The 22494-nt window shown below is 44.8% G+C and overlaps 1 protein-coding gene across 1 annotated transcript in view; it reads right to left on the bottom strand.

The window, feature by feature from the left end:
- Positions 1-3653: 3653 nt before the first annotated feature.
- The window catches only part of PCP4 (Purkinje cell protein 4), a 61955-nt gene continuing 43114 nt past the window's right edge, over positions 3654-22494 (bottom strand). Inside the window, exon 3 of the mRNA NM_006198.3 lies at positions 3654-4062. Within this exon, the coding sequence (NP_006189.2) occupies positions 3935-4062 (128 nt within the window). The 3' untranslated portion in view covers positions 3654-3934. The remainder of the gene's footprint in view (positions 4063-22494) is intronic.

The following is a 22494-nucleotide window of genomic DNA, read 5'->3' as shown; positions in this document are numbered from 1 at the left end:
AGAAAAGGAATTGAAAGTAGTCGGAAAGAAGAGACAAAATTATTGTTATTTGCAAGTGATAGGACCTGGAAATCCAAAAATATTCACTGGAAAATGATCAGGAATGTAGTTCAGTAAGATGAATGGTTACAGAGCTAAATCTACAGAAATCAGTAGTTCTTTGAGATAACAGCAACACCTACTAGAGAATGCTTTGGAAAAATATTGTGCTTACAAGGACAACAAAAACTATGAAACACTTAGAAATAGAACAAAAAGAAATGTGCAAGACCTATATGAAGAAAACTACAAAACCACCAAACGTCATAAAATGCTATAAAAACAATAATATAAAGACGTCAATTCTTCCCCACTGTGCCCTAGTTTATTTATAAATCTAATATAATTCTGCCTGCCCATGGTGTTCTGTTCTTTTCTTGGGTGTCTTGGATGTTCTATTCTTGGATGTCTGTGAGACCTGAATAATTCTCTCTTTTTTTAGCTAGTATGAGTGGGTTTCTATTCATTGCTACCAAATGACTAACTCAACCTAGGCTACCTCTTCATCTCTCATGGGCTCATGTACCTTGAGTCTCAAGTCCTCTCCTTCTTCCTGCACCTGTCTCCACATGGGCTTTTGCAGCTCCTTGAAAAAAAAAAAGTTTTTTAAAACCTTTTTTGCAACTTTTACCTGTCACCACACCAGCCTTGTCCCAGCTCAACATCTCCCTCACCTTAACTGGCTCAGCTCCCATGAAGGTTAATTCAGAATCACTAGAGAAATATTCAGACAGGCTGAGCCCACCCCTTGAGTCAAGTGCCTACCACTGGTCCAACTGGCTGTAGCCAAGGGAAACTGAGTCCCATGGCTTCAGTTGAGTGAAGTGTTGTGTGTTGCATGTTGATAAGGGAAGCTATGGTTGACTCTTTACCACACTGGTTTATCAATAATGACAGCTTACATTTATTAGACACCTACACTGAGCCAGACACTCATGCATTTTGCCTCATTCTAAATTCCTAACACTTTGCCAACCACCTTAACACAAAGATTTTATCATCACTTTGCTGTTAAAGAAACTGGCTACTTGAGGTAGGTAACTTCTCTGTAGTCATTTGACTGACTGTAAGTCAAAGATGGATCCAGTTTCAAGTCTCAAATACTTGGGTTCTTGCCTCCTGGCCTCCCCAAGTTCAGAGAGCAGAGTCACATCCCCCAGGCTGAAGTGTAATGATAAATTCAGCCTCTGGGATGGCAAAGTTGTGCACCTCCTTCTCAAGGACTTTGCCCAGACACTTCTTCACCAACCACCACCCTTATTTACCCAGGAACTCCTGTCAGCCTTCAGTGTACTGCCGGGCATGGCTGCACCTGGAGAAGACTTGAGTGATTGATTCTCCATGATCTGCCGTGCTGTGCCCCTCCTTCCATTCCAGCATCTGCTTATCCTCGTCCCTTCCCCACCAGACTGACAGCACCTTGACAAGGACTGTCCTGCTTTGCAGCCACTGCACCAAGTCCACACCCACAGCAGGAGTTGAATACACATGGCTGAAGGGACATTGAATTACTGATGCTCCAAATTGCTGGCACCCCATAGCACCTCAGGAGTTTCCTTCCTTTACCCTAAATAAATACTGTAGCCCATGGTAAGGAAAAGGTGCTCCCAAGCCTGGAGCCACAATCCCTTGTCCTTCTTCTGGTTTTATGAGACCATAGACTCAACATACCCAGTTCCTATGCTGATGGGGGCACATTTGGAATCTTCCTCATGCTGTTAGCTGAAGCTCTAGACCCTGATGAATCTACCTGGGAAGTGAATAGTTAAATTCATCCCCGTGTTTCAAAGGAAAGCCGTTATACCCCTGTCCTGTGATTGGAACAAGAGAGGCACATCACAATCTTTGAGGGACCTCTCCAAATTTCACGTCTCTCACCCCACTTTCATCCTTCTTCCCCCAATGGGCCATTGTTACTGAAAGAATATTCCCAGTCCCTTGGGGACATAGGGAAGAACCACTCCATTGGGATTTTCTGCTGTGCATGGAGAGTCCCCTCTAAAGAAAGCATCCTCATTATAAGCCAGATTAGCTTCCAGAGGGGTCAGCGTTGGGACAGCACTGGCCAGAGTGCAGCCAGTATAGACAGTGCCCCTACTTCCTTTAGGTGAACTATTCAGAGGATGGAGGTGCTTGAAGTATGAGGTGTGGTGAAATTGATCCAAAATATGTAAGTGTTTGTTTTGTTCCTGGCTTACTTTACATTGGTAGCTTAAGGGAACGCCAAAGAAGACTACATGGAGACCCATCTGATTTCTGTGGCATTCATATCTCTGCTGTCTCAGGAAGCTTTTCCTGGAGTGTCCCCTCAGCCTGTGGTCCTCTTTTCAGTAGGGACCACAGCATCAGGAGCCCCTCAGAGTCCTCGCTGGTTATCAGGGCCAAAGTGATCCTGTTTAGCTCTCTGATGATTGGAAATTCATCAGAATCTATGAGTTTTCCCTGTCTCTAACGACTGCAGGGAATTGTCTGGCAGGAGAGATTTCCTTACACAAGAAAATATGCACACTTTCAGAGGGATTTTTGAGACAGTAAATCACCCAAGCATGCCAGTGTTTCTTGACCTGTGCCTTCCTGACAATAAACGGGGCCCTGCCGCAGGAACAGCGGCACATCCACCTGCAGTCATTGCCTTGCCCATGCCTCACTCACACCATCCCTTACATCCACACACCCATGCACACACATGTGCACACACACGATGTCATCCCTCACCCCTTTTCCCATTATTCTTCATGCTCCACCTTGACCCTTTGTTAAGGAGCTGGCAAAGGAAAGACATGCAATGTCCCACTGTGTACGACAGCAGTCGTGGAGCATCTCAAACATCTCAGGAGGTTGAAGATGAGATGTGACTTACACATCACGTTATCATGTGGAAAAGTGCAAACAAAAGCCACAAGTGTCTCCCAAGGAGGGTACCCACCCAACCAACTGGCTCCCAAATCAGTGGCGGTGAGGTCCTCTCTATGTGATGGACCTCTCCTCACTGCCTACAAAACTACTTCGGGATTTACAGAACAGTTTACCTGCAAGGTTTGCATGGGAGAAGGTGGAATGGAAGAGAGGCCTGATAGCTTCTCTAAATTGCTACAGGTTGCAATAAATAACCCTACCACGTGGCAAATCACAGCATAGAGGAAGTTGGGGAGTTTAGAGAGGGTGCCAGTACCCTGGAGCCACACAGGTGCAGAGCACTGCAGGTAAGCTGCAGAATGGCCTATAACAGGCTAGAGTGTCCCCTTTGGAGATCTGAAATGGGTCTGCTGAGTAAATCTGGGGATGCTCCAAACACAAATGCATCACCTTCTCCCATTTTGTTCTCCTGAATCAGTCATAATTCCCCAGGGAAACTTCTGTCTTTGGCACCCGAGGATACAGGGCTCTATTCCCATGATAAGAAGAAAATACGTTGCCATCGCCAGCCAGCACTTAGGACTCTCCAAATGAGGCAAGCATGGCTGAAAATGGATCTCTCACTCTCAGCAAAAAAGCTCCTAACAGAAGACAATGTGTTACATCTCTGACTCCTAAGAGAAAGAAATAGACACCTGGCTCACAGTCACCTCTAACATCGGGTAAAATAAAGAGAGAAAGAAAGGCAGTCACTTGAATTCACTCATCGTAACTTCATTTTATTACAACATCAAGGAAAATAGTTGCAGGAGGAATGAAAATGGAGAGAAACATAGAGATTAAGCTACTCACAATTCCATTGTCTATACCTTCCTACAAGGGTATAAATATCACAGGTTTCTGTACATGCATTGGAGGTTTGCTATGCGTGTGTGGATTGTGTGTGGATGACTTCTCTCTAGGGTGTTGTTCTTTTAATTTCTTGACAGATGATGGTTGAATTTGGTGTTTTCAGGTGGACTAGGAGGGGGTTCTCCCACTAGGACTGAGACCCAGCCTTCTTCTTCTGGAATTTTCTGAACTGAGACTGAATGGCCACCGCTGCACGTTCTGTCTCTGGTGCATCCATGTCAATGTCAAATTCTTCTTGAACTTTCTTCTGTCCATCTGTAGCAAGACAAACACAAACAGAAGGCAATCACTGAGCTGAAAATAGGAAAGCAGACAGCCCCACTAGATAAGTGAAGCCAGGAAGTCCACCTTGGGGCACACACAGGGGCTTAACTTACACCCCAGGACAAGAGCTCATCTGCAAAGTAAAATCCAGTGGAGTGTTTTGACAGAGCTCAGAATCTACCACCTGAGCAGGACAATGAAACTCAAGGACACAGTCTCAACACTTCATGTATTTTCTGCACATGATTTTCTGTTCTCAGTGACCATCTTGATATATGGTTTTAATACTGGCTGTGCTGTTACTTTCTCCTGCTATCTCACAGAGGTACCATTTAATATTGCTAAGATATTGGTCCAATGATAGCTGATATTCACAATTACTGAGTCAGCAGAGTCATATACTGAGTTTCCGTGTATAATTCTGTGTGTCATTCTCAGGAAAGATTTGCTTATTGCAATCAGGGCTTCCATTTTTATCATCGTCAAGATGGGATGACACCATTTGACCTTCACAGTTCGACTGAACTTTCACAAAGCTTACATTCTTGTTCCTATGAGGTAGACTTGGCAAATGGCTTGCTGAGGTGGAGGGATTTCACCAATTCACACGGTGACAGGACACAAAGTGGGGGGTGGTGAGGAACGAAGGCTTGGGCCTCTGTGCTGTATACCTTACCACAGCACAGGGCCAGTGCAGCCAAGACGGAAAAACAAATAAATCAATAAAATTCTTCAGTCGTGGAAGGTAAATGTCTTTCAAAAGCCTCTAGTCTGATGAGACCCGGCGTGTTCAGGGTGGTATGGCCGTAGAGTGTATAGTGTATGCTGCTCAGGTGATGGGTGTATCAAAATCTTACAAATCACCACTGAAGAACTTACTCATGTAACCAAACACCACCTGTTCCCCAAAAACCTACAGAAATAAAAAACTAAAATAAAATAATAAATGCCTCTAGTCTGATGAAGGCTAAACATCAGATTCATCAAAGGCATCGTTTTTCTTTTTCTTTCTTTTTTTAAATACAGGCATGAGGGTCTCACCCCAGACTCAGGGCTTCCTCCTTGCACAGCCGCAGTGGGAAGGGTGCTCCTAAGAGCAAGATGGATGTTGAGAAATCCGTGTCCCTGTGGGGAGGCCAGACATCTACACTTCTTTTAAAAAGACTCTCAGGTGTGGCCAGAATTGAGATCCAAGGACAAAGGAGGCCTTGGAGTTAGCTCAAGCCAGAACTGGGGACAGAACTGACCTCTCCTGGGACCTGGGCCAAGAGCCTCGCTGCCACCCTGGGCTTGCACCTAGAGCAGAGGAGGCCAGCCCTGTGAGGAGCACAGCCAACTTGGAGATGGGAGAACTGGAGGCATTCTGAGGCAGAGGAAAAGCCCCAGCCAGTGAGCAGGGAGTGGGGCTCTATTCCTGAGTGTCACCAGGCAGCCTGAGTTCATCATCCACTACCTTGTTTAGGGACTTTGCATAATAATGCTCAGGCACCAGCTCTATCAGAGAGGGTGGAGGAAGCTGGGGTTCCTTGAGGACTTGAGGTAAGGCCTGCCTGTTCTATCCTGCTTGCTCTAGATAGATGATGATAGATAGATAGATAGATAGATGATAGATAGATAGATAGATAGATAGATAGACAGATAGATAGATAGATGATAGATAGATAGATAGATAGATAGATAGATAGATAGATAGATCAGAGAGACAGACAGACAAACATAAGTAGATGATAGACAAATACAGATAGACAGGTAATAGATAGATGAGAATCAGCACTTATTTCAGATGCATCTGCAGAGCTGTAAGCAGCCTCCTCTCAATTTTCCTAGATCCTAATCAGTTTCCACCTGGGACCCTTCAATCATCCTCTCACCTAGGAGGAGGGAATGTCAGCTCTGGCTTTGGAAGCCTTGTAGGACTGATGGAGCCATGACCCAAATCAGAGAACTGTTGTCTTCTATTTCAAACTTGCTGCCAATGCTCATAAAAGCAGAGATGTTGAGTGCACCAATGTTCAGGAATATTTCAGAGGCAGGGGATGGGGGTGCTTCCTTTTTAACCCAGGACAGCCCAAATGATAGACAAGTGGAACTGTTTCTCACACTCCAGGTAGCTATTCACATTGTCTTCTACATTGCCAGGGCCCTTTCTTTGGAGAAAAATAAGGGGTAGGATCACTGGGAGAAGTAAAAGTTTCCTGTGGCTCAAGTAGATGTTTTAAAAGTGGTTAATTAATGTTATCACATGAGCCTGGGACTGGAGGTCAAGTGTCTAGCAAACCCAGAATGCAAATGGCTCCAGTGTTTGTGCTCATGGCAATAAACCCTTTTGTACCAATAACATCCTTGGTTAGGTAGCATCTACAGCACTGGGAGTTGTCATTTTTCATAAGATGGTTTATAGTCCCAAATCCTTCTACTCCCAGAGGAATCCTTGCATCAACTGTACAGTGAGTGCAAAGGGGAAAAATTCACTCCTGATTCCAAGTAGGAGGGGAAGTTTCCCTTTTAAATGTAAAATGTTGCTGGAATCTGAAGTTTTTAAAGGGCCTGATTTGTCTTTTCCCTTTTATAATGATGGAAGAAAGCGGCAATATTATTTTTTGACAAATGACAAATGAAGACGCAGAAAATTATGTATATTAAGGAAATATATAATGAAACAGTGAGGACAGTTCACAGAAATCAATTTTGCACTTATATCTTAAACTGATATCTCAGCCAAAAGTGACTGATTGATTCCTCATTTGAAAAATATTACATTGTTTAAAAAAGAAACCACTAACATTTAAGGAATCGCTACTTTTCTGTATACTTCAGAGAGTCCAGTTCCCGGGGCGGCGGGGAAGGTCAGATGCTGTTAGAGGAGTGGCAGGAGCTCCTTCCGCTGAGCCAGTCAGGAGTGTGTAAGGAAGAGAATGGGGCACCCGACTGCAGTGGAGAAGGGACAACCAATTAGACTCGGTGGCACAGGGTTCAGTACAAATGGTCTGTGGCCCTGGAAGTCAGGAAAGTACAGTTCTAAATACCCCAGATTCAGCAGGCACAAAGGTAGGGGAGGAGAGTAAGGGAAGGGACCACAGCCAGGCACCCACTCCCAGAACCACTCTTCAGGGCCTTGGAGCCTGCCAAGGTTCCCCAAGGATGACCCCAGTGGCAGTGACAAGGCCACAGGAGCAGGGTGGCCCTGTGAGGAGCTTCCCCAGCCCCATCACTCCCGGGCAGAGGCGGGGACCCACGAGCAGTACAGGGGGCCCTTTCTACTGCTGATACCCACAGGGAAGCCCTCGGCCACGCCTGCTGGGGAGACTGAAGAGCCCTAGGAGAGGACATTCCCCGAATATGTCCCCTAGGGGCACGCCACACCCCCAAGCCTGCATTGCAGTTCTTCACGGTGCAATTGCTACCCATGACTTTACTTCTTTGTTTCCTTCTCTGGTTTGTCCTCGGTCTTCTACGCTAGAGCGTGAGCTCTGTGAGGCCCGGGACTTTGTCCGCCTTGTTCCAACAGCTTACATAGGATCCAGCGCACACACACAGTAGGTGTTCAATTAACAACTGTTGATTGCAAGTGAGCCATTAATTAATATGCTAGGCAGCTGTCAAAGGCATGCCTTTATCTGGAGGACTAAACAAGCACGGTACCCTCCTTGGTAACCATTTAACTTCAGTCTGTGAGGCGAGTCCTTGTCCTCACTCCCTGCAGCATTGTCATGGAGGAGGGCCTCAAGGGGCCTCCAAGGAGGCATGTAGCTGGGAGCTGTCCTGAGAAAGCCACTGTCTGGGCAGCCAGAGGGACACAGCCCACAGGGGGCACTGTAAGGAAGATGGGAAACCTGGCACCTGAGAATGACGTCAGGGAGCACTGCTGTTTCATGGGGGAAAGCCTCAGGAAATGCTCAAGGCTGAATGGAGAGAAGAGGGGCACAGGTGTCCAGGGGCAGACGTCCAGACCTCAATAGGCACACAGGGAAAGAGGAAGGCACAGGTGTACCCTCATGCCCCTGGGCCAGGGCCTGTGGCCCCAGAGGAGCCTGTGGGGACCCAGCAGAACAAGAGAAGCTCCAGGCGGGTTTCTAAGCCTCTTCTTGCCTAGAACAGAGCCTGCCACCAATAGCTGGCCAGGGAATAAACAAAACCCGGGGCCAGGTGTGGTGGCTCATGCCGGTAATCTCAGCACATTCAGAGACTGAGGTGAGAGTCTGAGACCAGCCTGGGCAGCATATGGAGACACCGTTTCTACAAAAAGTTAAAAATTAGCCAGGAGTGGTGGCAGCTAATTTTTACACAGAGCTGAGCATAGTCCCAGTTACTCAGGAGACTGAGAGGGGAGGATCACTGGAGCCCGGGAGGTGGAGGCTGCAGTGAGCTATGATTGCACCACTGTACTCCAGCCTGGGAAACAGAGTGAGACCTGTCTCAAACAAAAACAAAAACAAAGAACACAGGCCTCGTGTCCCAGCAGCCAAAGCCCTCAGTCTCCTTGGGGATGAGAGGCTGCCTCTCTCCTCACACCTAGATACTCTCCGCACTGAGCCAGGCACCCTGCAGAAGTGGGTCTATGGATTTCAGGTAAAATCTGAATTTGGGGATTGCCTCTGACTGCTCTGTGACTCTGAAAAAAGTTCTTAGCTTCTCTGGTGCTCAGTTTTCTCATCTGGAAAACAAAAGCCTGTGCTACCTGGCTCCCAGTGTTAGGTTTATGTTCAGATCAACACTCGGTTGTACCTTAAAGCACAGGCCACACTGTACTGGGCATGGCGTGGCCAGAGCTGCAAAGGCCAGTGAAGGGGACGTGGGCAGTAAGGTGGCTCTCCAGCCTCAGGGTGTCTGTGTCTGCTCAGTGGTGAGATTCATGGATCACTCGGGCCCTCATCCAGGGAGGAAGGGGGCACTTTCCATCATGGCCGCCCGCATGGCCATCATGGTCAGCTGTGTTTGCTGGGCTTGTTGCAAGATGGCCCCAGCTCAGAAATACAAGGCAGAAAGAATATCCTTAAAATTTGTTCAAAAGAGAGACTTCCCACTGCCGACCGATACAGTCCACAACTCACAAGTCATGTCACTGTAAAGCTTAGACAATACAAAAGGACATTCTCCTTAGCTACGAGGGCACACACCACGCCCTCCTAGTGGCCTAGAGGCCTTTGCAGAGCTTCTGTGTCCAGGAGGGAGCAGGGCGTCTAAACGAGTGGTATGGACGAAACGAATGCCATTGTCATGTCCAGATTGCAGTACAATCATTTCCGTCATGTTACCACTTTCTCCTTCACACAGATGGCTGAAGGCTTAGGTCTGGACTGGGTGGCCTCTCCCTGACATGTGCACATAGGATTCTGCCGCGTGTACTGGAAAATCACTTTGGCCACGCCCACTCTCCATGGAGGCTTTTCAGTCTGAGGGAGCAGCATTTTAGACTAAATTACATTTGGCCTGAGGATGCCTCCATACTCCAGTCCTCAAATAAAAACTACAGTCTTAGTACAAAAACTAACTAGAAGCCTAACTCAGGAGTACTGTACAGGCATGCTCTGGTCAACAAATAGTGGGCTCTCCATCAATCACAGCAGCCCATTTTCAGTCAATCACAGGTGGGCAACTTACTCAAGCAGGGCAAAATGCTGCACTGTAACCAGTTAAGCTGCCTCGGTGCCTCACGTCTGCTTTCTGCCCATCAAGGCTGCCTGACCACGTGGCAGGCTGGAGTTCTGAGAACCTGTTCTGGTTCAGAGAGACGCCTAATTCTGGAATCATTCTTTGCTCAACTCCACTACATTTGACTTGTCTACGGCTTTTCCTTTTAAGAAGTATTTCACCAAAACACCTTGTAAGCCATCCAGGGCTTCACAGTTGTCATTACTTGTATTTGCCGCAGGTCCTGGAATTCTACCTTTTCCCACTCTGCATAGACATTCTGAAATTTTCAAGCTGACCACAGAACAGTCAAGAGATATTCATGCCAATTAGCAGATCTGATGTAAGAGAACAGCAATTCCCACTCCACTAGAAGACGAGGGGAAACCCGACTTATTGATCACTATAGCTCCAAAAAAATGGTCCCATGATTCAACGTCCTGTGTGCCTGGGGGGCCATTATCCCTCACAAGGCCTTCAGACATCAGCCAAGTCCATCACCTGTAAGATCTCACCTCAAAGGAAGTGACAATCAAAATCTATCAGGCTGGGCAGCTACGTGAACTGCTACATTATCTAGCTACCTGTCCATTACCTGTGCACCTGTCACATTGCCCTTTCTCAACAAACAGTGTAGTTGCAAAATGGCTCCAGGCAATGAGGCTTTTCCCTCTGAGCAGAAACCTCATTAAACCACCAGGACCTGACACAGAGCTCTGCCAATGGCCCTTGAATAATGAAGAAATGATGCTCCCTGAGGCTTGGAAAAATAATGAAGAAATGATGCTCCCTGAGGCTTGGAACGTCCCCTGATTCAGTTCTGCCATGACCTCCACTAGGAAGCAAAACAGTCCTATTCAAGTTTAAACTTTGCACTAGTATAGACATTTCTTATGCTACTTTCCTGAAATACTGCCTTTCCCCCACAGAAACTGAATAGAAGGTGGCCTCTGCAATTATATGTTTTATTATGTCACAAGAGAAAGCTCAGGCAGCCCTTCTTAAAGATGGAATGGTAATAAAAACCACTCTTTATTGAGCATTAAATAGATCCTCCCTCATATACTCAAGTAGATTTTATTTTACAGATCATTTGATGGGCAAATATAAAATAGAGAATCATAAATATAAAGGTTAGGAACTATTATACTACCAGTTGAAGACAGTCCCAAATGAATTTTACGAGTCTCAGGGCCAGGCATGGTGACTCACACCTGTAATCCTAGCACTTTGGGAGGCCGAGGCAGGAGGGTCACTTGAGCCCAGAAGTTTGAGACCAGCCTGGGCAACATAGTGAGATCCTGTCTCTATTTTTTTTAAGTCTCTGGTATTGTCATGAAAATCCAAAGAACAGAAAAATGCTTTGATAAATTAAAATTCCACTTGCATTTATCTATTCTGATACAACAGAGTTTGGTGCTGGAGCAGAGGTTCTCACATCAGTCCCATAGTCCATCAGCAGATACTTGTCGAGAAGAGTATGAGTTTGCTCGGGCTGCCATAACAAAATACCAGAGACTAGATGGCTTCACCAATGGGAATTTATTTTCCCACAGTTCTGGAGGCCAGAAGTTGGAGATGAAGGTGTTAGCAGGTGTGGTTTCTCGTGAGGCCTCTCTCCACCTTTTTGCTGTGTCCTCACCACATGAGGACATTAATTTAACATTAATCAATTAACCATCTCTTTAACCATCTCCAAATGTAGTTACAATCTGGGGTACCAGAGGTTAGAGCTTCCACATATTAATTTGGGTGGGGAGACGACACGGCTCAGCCTATAACAGCACCTGACCTAATTTGGAGGCTTCATAGGTTTTAAAGTTGCTTTGCATCATAGAGAATCAGAATTTAAGATTCCCTATTTTACAAAGAGAATTTGGGCTTCTGTAATCTGTAGTTTGGACTTACGTAGTCATTTATGAGAGCTGAGGAAACATTCATCATCCCCGTTCTAGAAGGGCCTCGCTTAAGATCACCTCGTGAAGACTGGCCAAGCCTGACTTGGGATCTGGGTCTTGTTCCAAATCTTGTTTTCATCCTGTGGGGTTGTGCTACTTCATCTCCTTAGATGTAGACCAAGCTGACAGACTTCTTTATGGACCAGTCAATATAGCTCTGGGGGAAAAGCATCTCTTGGATGGTCCAAGTCTAAACACATAATACAGTCAACCAGCTTGCAAAATCTGCTGGTTTACCAGGCTGTCTGGGGGAACTATACCAAATTCATGAGTTCGGCGAGTGGTCTGAGAGAGCCATCCCTGTCCTGGGGGCTGGGAGAGAGCAGAGAACAAACCTAGTCCCCTCCCTCCCCAGGAAAACAAATGGAAAGGTAAATGCACAAGTAAGTAATAGAATTTCAGAGATTCAAAGAGCAAAGCAGGCCGCTGGAGAGTGTGAGGTAAGATTGTCAGGTGGGGCCTCTGCCAAGGAGCCATCCTGGGAGGGGCACAGCCCCACAGTGAGGCCAACCAGGATGGGGGCGGCAGCCAGGGCTCTTCACGGATGGTGGGAAATAGCACTTCCAGAAAAATGGTCTTCATCTGTGCATTCACAATCTAAGAGGCAGGCTTCAAATAATTAACATAAATTCCTAGGAAATTAACAGACATGAAAAGTCACCTAGGGCATGACAGAGCTATTCATGGATCCTGCAACAGTCCCAGAAAGGATAAAAAGTTTGAAACACAGCACAATTCAAAAATATATTAACCCCTAAACTTAGGAAAGGAAACTCTCAAATCTGTTTGTTTCCCAGTTGATGGCGATGAAAGGTCATTGCTCACGTCATCATGGTTAGATCATTGGAGGAACCAGCAATAAATCACCACAGCAGCTTTTACTTTTAACACACAGACACACACACATACAACACGCCACACACACACAACAGACCGACACATCCACTCCCATCACACAGTCACACACCACACACACTCACACAAACACACCACGCACACACCACACCAAACACACATCATACCACATATGCAAACACACCACACACATACCACACACACATCACACATCACACATCAAATACACACCACACACACACACCACACACACTACACCACACACACACACCACACCAAACACATATCACACAAACACACCACACCCACACCACACCAAACACACATATCGTATCACACACAAACACACACCACACACATCACACATCACACATCAAACACACTACACCACACACACCACACACACAAACACCCCACACACAGACCAAACACACACACACATCACACACACCACACACACACAAACACACCCTACACACACACACCACACATACATACCTACACCCACACACCACACACATCACACATCAAACACACCCCACACACACACCACACACACACCAACACACACCTCTCACTCCACACACATGCACTCATACACAAACACACCTCACCAGACACACTCCTACACAAACACAACCCTCACCACACGCACTCATACACACCACACACAAACACACCACACTACACACACAAAACACACAAACATACCACACACTCACAAATACACCACATTACACACACAAACACATACCACACATACACAAATACACATTACACACCACACACTACACATACATACACACCACACACACACAAACCACACACACCATAGACATACACACATTAGACCACACACATCACACCACATACACACTCATACACACCACACAAACAGGTAAATGCTTTAATTTACATATTTATCACTCTTCATATTTTAAGATTGATTTGATAGAAATGAATGACCTCCTAACGCCTAATGCTGTAGATCAGAAATTTGTGCCCAAGAAGTAAATTGGGATATAATAGTCCCGAGTAGGAGTCTGCCTTCATTAGGAGTCACAGCACATAGCGTACTATAAAAGGACCTAAATTTTAGCAAGCTATAAAGAAATAACAGTCATTTAACTTAAGTATGCCTTGCAATTGGGGTATTGTAATGCCAAGGTTCTTAGAATGTTCTACCTTCTTTCAAAGTACAATATTAACTTTGGAAGAATTAACATCTGTCAGCTGTGTTGCCCTTGATATCATTAAGCTAATTGATGCGGAGTTCTGTGCTGCTGGGGCCCTCTTAGCTGGGATCCCCTCGGCCACACCGAGGCCACTCGGCCAAAGAGAGGGAGTGGGGTTCCCTCCTAAGGACCCAAACCCTTGCCCTTGAGGCAGAGAAAGCCAAAGAGACAGGTAACAAAGCAAGCAAGGATTGCACCTTGCTTTTATCCTTTACACCTCACATTGGATCAAGATATACTCAGAGAATAAGGCGTCTAGTGTTGGAGAAAAGGTCAATTCCTCCAGAGGAAAAAAAATTATAACAATAAATTTATACCCGTAGTACCTAATAATGCTGGCATACAGCATCACACTTTATGAAATGCCAATTTAAAAAAAGACAATAAGCTCTTTAAAAAGCTGGGAACAAAGCATGCAGAGAGCCACTGTGTCCTTCTGCCTGACTTCCTGAGTTGCAATCCCTCTGCAGCTTGGGGAGTGTGGGATTCCAACAAGCCAGCCCCACAGCCCAGAGCCACTTCTCGTTCCTGCCTGCTGGCTGCATATTTATCGAATGGGGGCTGCTGGTGCGGAGAATTGCAATTTTCCAGGTCTGTGCTAAGAGGCAGAGATTAATGAGCAAGTTCAGGCATTAGCAGTCCCAGGCAAGGGGACTTTCTGCATCTATTGTATTCCCCAAATCAAAAACACAATTCGCATTTCTTCTAGCTTTCCATTTACCAAGTTAGTGCCTTCTTTGGTACTTAAAGCTTTTTCCAAGAGCGAACAATTCTCTTTTGTCCTAAAATAGAAGTATTCTGAAACCCACAGTCTTCGATTGTTCAAATCAAGTTCTCATTAATACAAAGCCTAATTTGGTAGCCAAAAGTAAGAGTTTACTCTGAGCGCCTCTCGGTCATCTATTTCCTATTATTCTGTTTCTCGGGCTTCCATCCAGAGGCACCCTGGCTTATATAAAATGCCCATTGTGGAACTAGATAATCAAATTAGCACAAATCCATGCTTATCGATTACAAAGAATGAGAACTAATGAGATCAGATCTTCCTCCAAATTTATTAAGCGAGGAAGAGCACAAAAAAACAAGGTATAATCATCATTGAAGAAATACTAATTTTTCTGTTGAAAAGGCAAAATTCATTCCTATTTGTATGAATTGCTTAGGCTATCATGACAAAGTATCACACACGGGGTCACTTAAGCAACAGAAATTTATGTTCTCACATCCAGGAGGCTGGAGTCCAAGATTAACGTGTTGGCAGAGCAGGTTCCTCCTAAGACCTCTCTCCTGGCTTGCAGATGGCTTCCCTCTGTGTCCTCACATGAGGATCCCTTTGTGAATGTCTGTGTCCTCATCTCTTCTTCTTATAAGGACAGCAGCCAGACTGGATGAGGGCCCAGCCTGAGGACCTCATTTCAATTGAATTACCTCTATAAAGACCCTATCTCCAAATAAGATCACATTCTGAGGTTATGGAGATTAGGGCTTCAACACATGAATTTGATAGGGAGGGAGTACACAATTCAACCCAGAACCACTAGCCAAATGCCTACATTTTCAAGAAAAAAATGGAGACAATCAGAGAGGTATGATGAGAAACAGCTTGACTAAGGACAGCTTGAATTCAAGTCATGACTCTTGACTGTGGTCAGATTTGCCTTCCTGAGGTTCAAATCCTTGCCCAGGCTTGTTTTTCTCTGGAGAGCATGTGCAGGGACACAGTTTGTAAGGAGTAGAGGGCCATCCCAATGCAGAGGTGCATTGCCCAAGACGGCAGCCGGCAGCCTGGCTTGCCCAAAGCACCCTCCTTCCAGCTTCTCCCTCTACCACCAGGCTGAGAAGCTGGAGGACATCATTCCCCGATGTCTCAGGGGTGGAAGTCTGCCGCACAGGTGAGGGCTGGCCAGGCAGGTGCACTAGAAGGATAGGAGAGGCAGAAGTGCGCATCAGGGGCCAGCCAACCACAGGAAGATCCCACCTTCTGGTAAGCCCTGAGGCAGAGGTACTGGGTTTCTCTGGGGCAGCTGTGGGGACATCCCAGTGTCCTTTGCCTGGTGGCACATGCCAGGCAACATTAGGAGCAGTCAAGCATCTGCTAGAAAGATCTATCGTGTCGCTAAATATCTTCCATATGAATTGTTTCTGGCTGGACACCATCTAGGCTGAGCTCTCTGCCTCCCAGAATTTTTTTTTCTTTAATTTTTATTTTAAGCTCCAGGGTACATGTGTAGGATGTGCAGGTTTGTTACATAGGTAAACGTGTGCCATGGTGATCTGCTTCACAGATCAACCCATCGCCTAGGTATTAAGCCCAGCATCCATTAGCTATTCTTCCTGATGCTCTCCCTCCCAATAAGCCCCAGTGTGTATTGTTCTCCCCCATGCATTCATGTGTTCTCATCATTCAGCTCCCACTTATAAGTGAGAACATGTGGTGTTTCATTTTCTGTTCCTGTGTTAGTTTGCTGAGGATAACAGCTTCCAACTCCATCCACGTCCCTGCAAAGGACATGATCTCATTCCTTTTTTAGAGCTGCATAGTATTCCATGGTCTTTATCCAGTCTATTACTGATGGGCATTTAGGTTGACTTCATGTCTCTGCTATTGTGAATAGTGCTGCAATGAACATATACACGCTTGTGTCTTTGTAATAGAATGATTTATATCCCTTTGGGTATATACCCAATAATGGGATTGCTGGGTCAAATGGTATTTCTGCTTCTAGATCTTTGAGGAATTGCCACACTGTCTTCCACAATGGTTGAATAATGGTTGAGCTAAGACATACATAGGTTCAAAACAAAGGGATGGAGGAAAATTTACCAAGCCAGAAATTATTAAAGGTCTTATAATAAAAGCCCTTTCTTCCAAATCCAACAAGAGTAGATTCTGCTGTCTGCACCACCACCTCCTATAGCCATAACCAGTTAGACTGGGGCCAGGGGAGGAGAGAAATATTATATAAAGAAAAGGGGTAATCTTGTGCTTTTAGAGATCAGATTGCAAGATTTTAGTTTATTTACATAGAAAATATGTTAATATTTACTCGAGAATAACTTGAAGGAAAGTGGGTAAATGAAAATGCTTTTGGGAGTGAGAATAACATACCAAATGCCTTCTTCTCTCTGAGCACATGGAAAGAATTGAAATTCCTTCCCAGGAATCAGCAGCTAGCTGCCCCAACAGCAAACCACAGAAAAGCCACAGTTTGCCCTTCTTCACACTCTGACTAGGAAACATAGAAAAAAAATCTCTTCAGGCTGATTGGAGGGATAGAGGACAAATTAGTCATCCAACAATTCAGATAACCCCTCTGTGCAAGCTAACCAGCTTGTAAGCACCCAATAAACTCCAGGAGCAGAAAGGTGTTGTGGCTGAGTCTGTTCATTGCCTTTGTTTATCCCCTTTTTCTTAGTTCCAAAACCCCTGATCTGGGGCTGAGCACATGGTTATCCAGAAAACAGTTTCCAGCCTCCTTACTGTTGGATGTGTCCCTGCAACTAGGATTTGGTCAATATGATGTAAGTGGAAAAAAGAAATCTTACGATAAAATTAACAGACACCCCTTGCCCATTTTTTCCCTCTGTTCATATCTGTTTTCTGTTGGCTGAAATGTAGGTGCAATGGCTGGTGCTCATGCAGCCATATTCAACCATAAGTTGGAAGTCTTATGCCAAATATTGCCAAACAGTGACAGATGCTTGATGCTCCTTGAAACTACACAGACTCCCCTTGACCATCTACCTCCAGAATCCTTCTATATGACAGAGAAATAACCTTCTCTATTGTTTAAGCAGTTGTTATCTTGGGGTTTCAGCTTCTTTTAAATGAACCTCATCTTCTACACGTGTGTGATAATCAGTGTATAATTCATCAGGAAACATTTTATTTCAAGTTGATAATGGAAATTCACATGTATTTTACTGTGTATTGGATGGGCTCATTTCCTTCCCTGAACTGCACATTTTATCTTTTGCTTACGTGCATCCATTCAGTTTCTGAAATGGGTGGTCATTTCTTCATAGTATTTAATGCTTTAAAAATCCCAGAGATTTTTTTTTTTTTGCAGAAATACTTCCTTTATATTCAGTAACCTTTGGCAACATTCCCTCTGAGGCTTCCCTGCTTCATGTTATTTTTTTCTCCTTGTGGGACATTTGCTTCTCCTTCCATACCCTTCCCTTTGCAGTTGTGGAAACTGTGTAGTTTTTCAAGTGCCTGAAAACACAGGAAATTGATGTGAGCAGGTCCTGCTCCAGGGACGGTGACCTCCCTAGTCAGATTTCAGGCCACTCCCTTCATTCTGCACTAGGTCTATTTGTTTCTTCCTTTCACAGCTTTGGAATAATTGGAGTTTTCCTTTTTCTCTGATATTCCCTGGTTTTACCAGGTATCGACTGACTCTCCTGAGGGTGCTCACCACCTTCTAGGACTCACATGTGCCCCAGCTTCTAAAATTTCAAATACCAGATTTAAAGCATTAAACTCTAAAAATTTCACCACCATAGAGAATTTCATACAGTTCCCCAGTTTTTAAATAGAAAAAAAGTCAAATGCAATCATAATTACAGGACATTTTTAAGTAGTCTCAAAGGAACATCAATTAGCCTAATTAATATAAGAACCTCACTTGAACCCACTGAGTTTCTTCTAATTCTCCTTGCCCCATAATTCTACAAAGAATTTTACTTTCTTCTTTTTTTTTTCTTTTTTTTTTTTTTGAGACAGCTCTGTCACCCAGGCTGGAGTGCAGTGGCATGATCTCGGCTCACTGCAACCTCTGCCTCCTGGGTTCAAGAGATTCTCCTGCCTCAGCCTCCTGAGTAGCTGAGATTATAGGCACACGCCACCACACCCAGCTAATTTTGTGTGTGTATGTTTTTAGTAGAGATGGTGTTCCACCATGTTGGCCAGGCTGATCTCGAACTCCTGACCTCAGGTGATCCACTTGCTCCCAAAGTGCTGGGATTACAGACATGAGCCACCACGCCTGGCCAAAGATTTTGACTTTAAGAAGGAAAGGTAGAAGCCAAGGCAAATGGAGTGTGTTCCAGGGTTTTGTGAAGAAGGAAGACAAAGGCTGGTAAGAGCCCCCAAGAGCTTCATGAACAATGGGGAAAGCAAAGAGCAGCTTGGGTTGAAAAATCATCACATGTACATCAGAAAGGGACTAAAGCTGCTTTCAAAAGTGGGTACTCTGGGCCTTTTCTCCTTACAAATACTCTTTATTCTCTTTGGTGCTGTCTGATTTAAATGCCTTTCTCCCACAGTGTGTGTGTGCATCTGGCATCCTTCATGACACACGTTTCTGCGTCCTTCTTGGCCCTGGCTGTCAACTCAGCTGCTGGGCCATGCTATCTCATGGGGCACTTCCCGCCCTGGCTCTTCACCCTGAGCTTCTAATCCCTGCAGACAGGTGTTTCTCTTTGCGTATTTCCAGGGATTACAAGCCTTCTTAAATGCACAAGACTATTCGGTAGACGGGTCTGTTTTGTATGGAATTTCACGTGGGGTACAACTCTCTGGCAACTCCAAAGGGGGTCTGTGAAGCAAAGCCAGGGTCAAGTCCCTCCCAGGTCCAACCACGCAGCTGAGCTGATAGACGCCCATCACTGCTCAAAATCTCAAGCCTGAGGCTACCACCAACCTGGAATCTCCATTCAGTCATGGGTCCTGTGTTTCGTTTCATGCTCTACACTTTTCACGCATGGCAAGAAAATGGCAGAGCAGAAATAGACGCTACCGTATACGACTCTGAAGTCCCATATTTTCAAATACCCTTCAAACATGCTGAACATGACTGGGCATCCCACATCAGAATGTTGTCATAAGGACAGAGAGGGCTGTTGCCCAGAGGTGTGTGCCTGGATTTGTAAGTGAGTATTTTATGTCTAAACAAAGATGGGTGCTGATTTCTAGGGACGGCCAGCCCTGTGACAGTTAAACTTCACAATCTCTGCTTTCCTAATCCACAGCCACAGCCCCTCACGTCCCTTCTCTTTGTAGGTTTGGAGCAAAGACATAGCACTTCTATTTGCTTTTTTTAAAATGACACTATCTTAAGAGCTCATGGCCAGGCACTTGCTGATTTCTTGGAAATACCTTTTTAAAGATGGGTCATTTTAAGCTCTGTACCTTTTTCTACTTATCAGGAAGATGAGTTCTTATATTTATAAAAAGATACTAAAATTAAATACCCCAGAAGTAAAGTTATGTGGCATTCTAGACTAAGTAGCTGAACTACATATAGTAACCTGGACTCAAAAAGATTAACTAAGAGTAGAGTTTTGGTGTTAGTTTTAAGCAACAAGTAATAATGTCCTCACTTTGGGAGGCCTAGGCGAGAGGATCCCTTGAGGCCAGGAGTTTGAGACCAGCCTGCGCAACATAGTTAGACCTCATCTCTTCAAAAAATAAGTTATCTGGTTATAGTGGCCCGCACCTGTAGTCCCAGCTACTCTGGAGGCTGAAACAGGAGGATTGCTTGAGCTGGGAGTTCAAGGTTAGAGTGAGCTAAGATCTCACTACTGCACTCCAGCCTGGGAGACAGAGCAAGACCTTGTCTCTAAAAAATAAAAATAAAAATAGATTAAATTAAAATAATAACGTTCTGACACCGAATCACCCCGGAAAATGGCATTGGGAAGTTCTTCCCAGGGTTGTGAAAAGTTCTGAAGCTCCAGACTTTTTTTATATTGGTTCAGGTAGATGAACACCTAGGCAGAATTCAGATGGGGCCTGGTTAAATGTGACCATTTAACCAGGGCCTGTTTTATGTGGCACCTTGGCAGGAAAGCAAGGCTCCTGCCCTTTGTGGGTGCCATCGGAGCATCCCCATCCAAAAAGCTTTTACAAACCAAAAATAAAGTGGATTACTTTTATTCTTTTCAAGAAATTTCAAAGACAGAAAGAAATTTTCTGGGATCAGGGCAACAGGATCAAAAATTAATCAGTTTGGAAATACTTTAAAAAAAAAAAAAAACCTTTCAAAAGACCAACAATGAAATATCATCCCTTGACACATTCTAATTATCAGCAGAGGTAGTAGAAGCATTTCTGTCTAAACCAAAAATTTAAGCAGGGATAAAATACCCATTTGGAGCTGCCATGGCTCAAGGGAGCATTAACAGAGGCTGATGTCAAGAAACTGATGTCAAGAAACAAATTTAGATAGAATGTTAGAAAAAAAAATGTCTAACATCAGTCTATTAGAGATTGCAAACATCTCCCAGGAGCAGTAGCATCTGACCTTTTGCTAAAGTCATTTTAAGCTGAACTGAGGAAATACACAACAGGGAGTCATATTTCACCAGCTGTGAATGGCCGGGGTGACCTAATAGGCCGTTTCTAGCCCAGATAGGTAATTGGCAACGTTTTATAGTTTTGTTCAACTGTCAGATGTGTGAATAGAATAAGAATGAATATCTCATCTGCAGGTAGCTCATCTTGTCTTCTAAAACCCTATCTCCTTCTTCCACAAACAAGTCTGGATTATAATTTCAAAACTACGGTTCAACTCTTCCACACACAGCCATCATTTAAGGTGACAATAGGCTGGATTTATAGAAAAGACAAGTGAGGCTTTTTCAAGAAACAGCTATAACTCAGTATCCCATTGCCATGGGGCTGGGGAGCACCTATCCCGGCAACCTCTGGCTGAGGTTTCCCCTAGTGCTTGGTTGGTACCAGGTCACGTTGACGAGGCCCACAGGTGAAAAGGTTATAAAGTTTCTAAAGAATGTTGGCTACCTTCTGCCTGAAAGATCGCAGTCACACTTTAATTTCATGTATGCCAATTGCCACCAGAGGGAGGCACCCACTTCTTTTGTGTTTCTGTCGAGTGGACCACTGTTGTCTACACCTGTGCTCACCTCGAGGCCAGTCACTGGGGTGCCAGCCTCCTTTCTAAACTGGACATATGCTACAGAAAGATCCAGGAAAATAAACCCTGTTTCCCTGTTTTACTGTCAGATAGTTGGAAATGCAGTTTTTCTAGAGGAAATGTTAAATTTTCCCATTTTCACCCATTTTGTTGAAATAGTTGTTATTTCAACAAAAATAACTACTTGTTATCCTGTGTTCACAGCCGGTGACAATCCCATTCAGATCCCATCCATTGCCCTTACTTTCCCCTCCACTGCCTCCACCAAGAAAATACATCGTATTTCTCCTGTGGACTCATGTGCGATATCCCCTTGATGCTTACAGAAAATAAAATCAAAAGGAGTCAAATGTCCTACACTGTCCCAGGAAAGAGACAGCCACAGAATCATAAAGAGTCAGAATTCGACAAGCGCCCAAAGACAATGTCGTCGTACAATGCTGCAACCCAAAGAGATAAAATGATTCACTGCAGGTGAACCAGGAACAAATGAGTAAAGCATAGAATGGCAGGGACAGAACAAATGGGAATTCACCCAAGCCCCACCCTTCATGAGCAAACCAAGAGTCGGATGAGGTTTATTGGCAGGCCTTCAGGCCAAGCAGCTCAGGGGCCCTGCAACCGGGGAAATGGCTAAAGGGCGAGGAAGACCCTAAAAACAGTCAGCAAAAATGCCCAGCTCCTGCTGGCATGGAGGCAGCCTGGCATCAGCTAATCCATGGAAAACCCCAGCCAAAATCGGATGCTAAACATTGCTCTATCTTATTCTGAAAGTTCTATGAAACAATTACTGAGCTCAGAGTTACCTGGGAGGAACCTTCAAAGCACTTTCCCCAACCAGCAAATGCATTATAATCTACA

Source organism: Homo sapiens, chromosome 21 (genome assembly GCF_000001405.40).
Source record: "Homo sapiens chromosome 21, GRCh38.p14 Primary Assembly".
NCBI lineage: Eukaryota > Metazoa > Chordata > Mammalia > Primates > Hominidae > Homo > Homo sapiens.
This window is presented reverse-complemented; position numbering and strand designations above follow the sequence as displayed.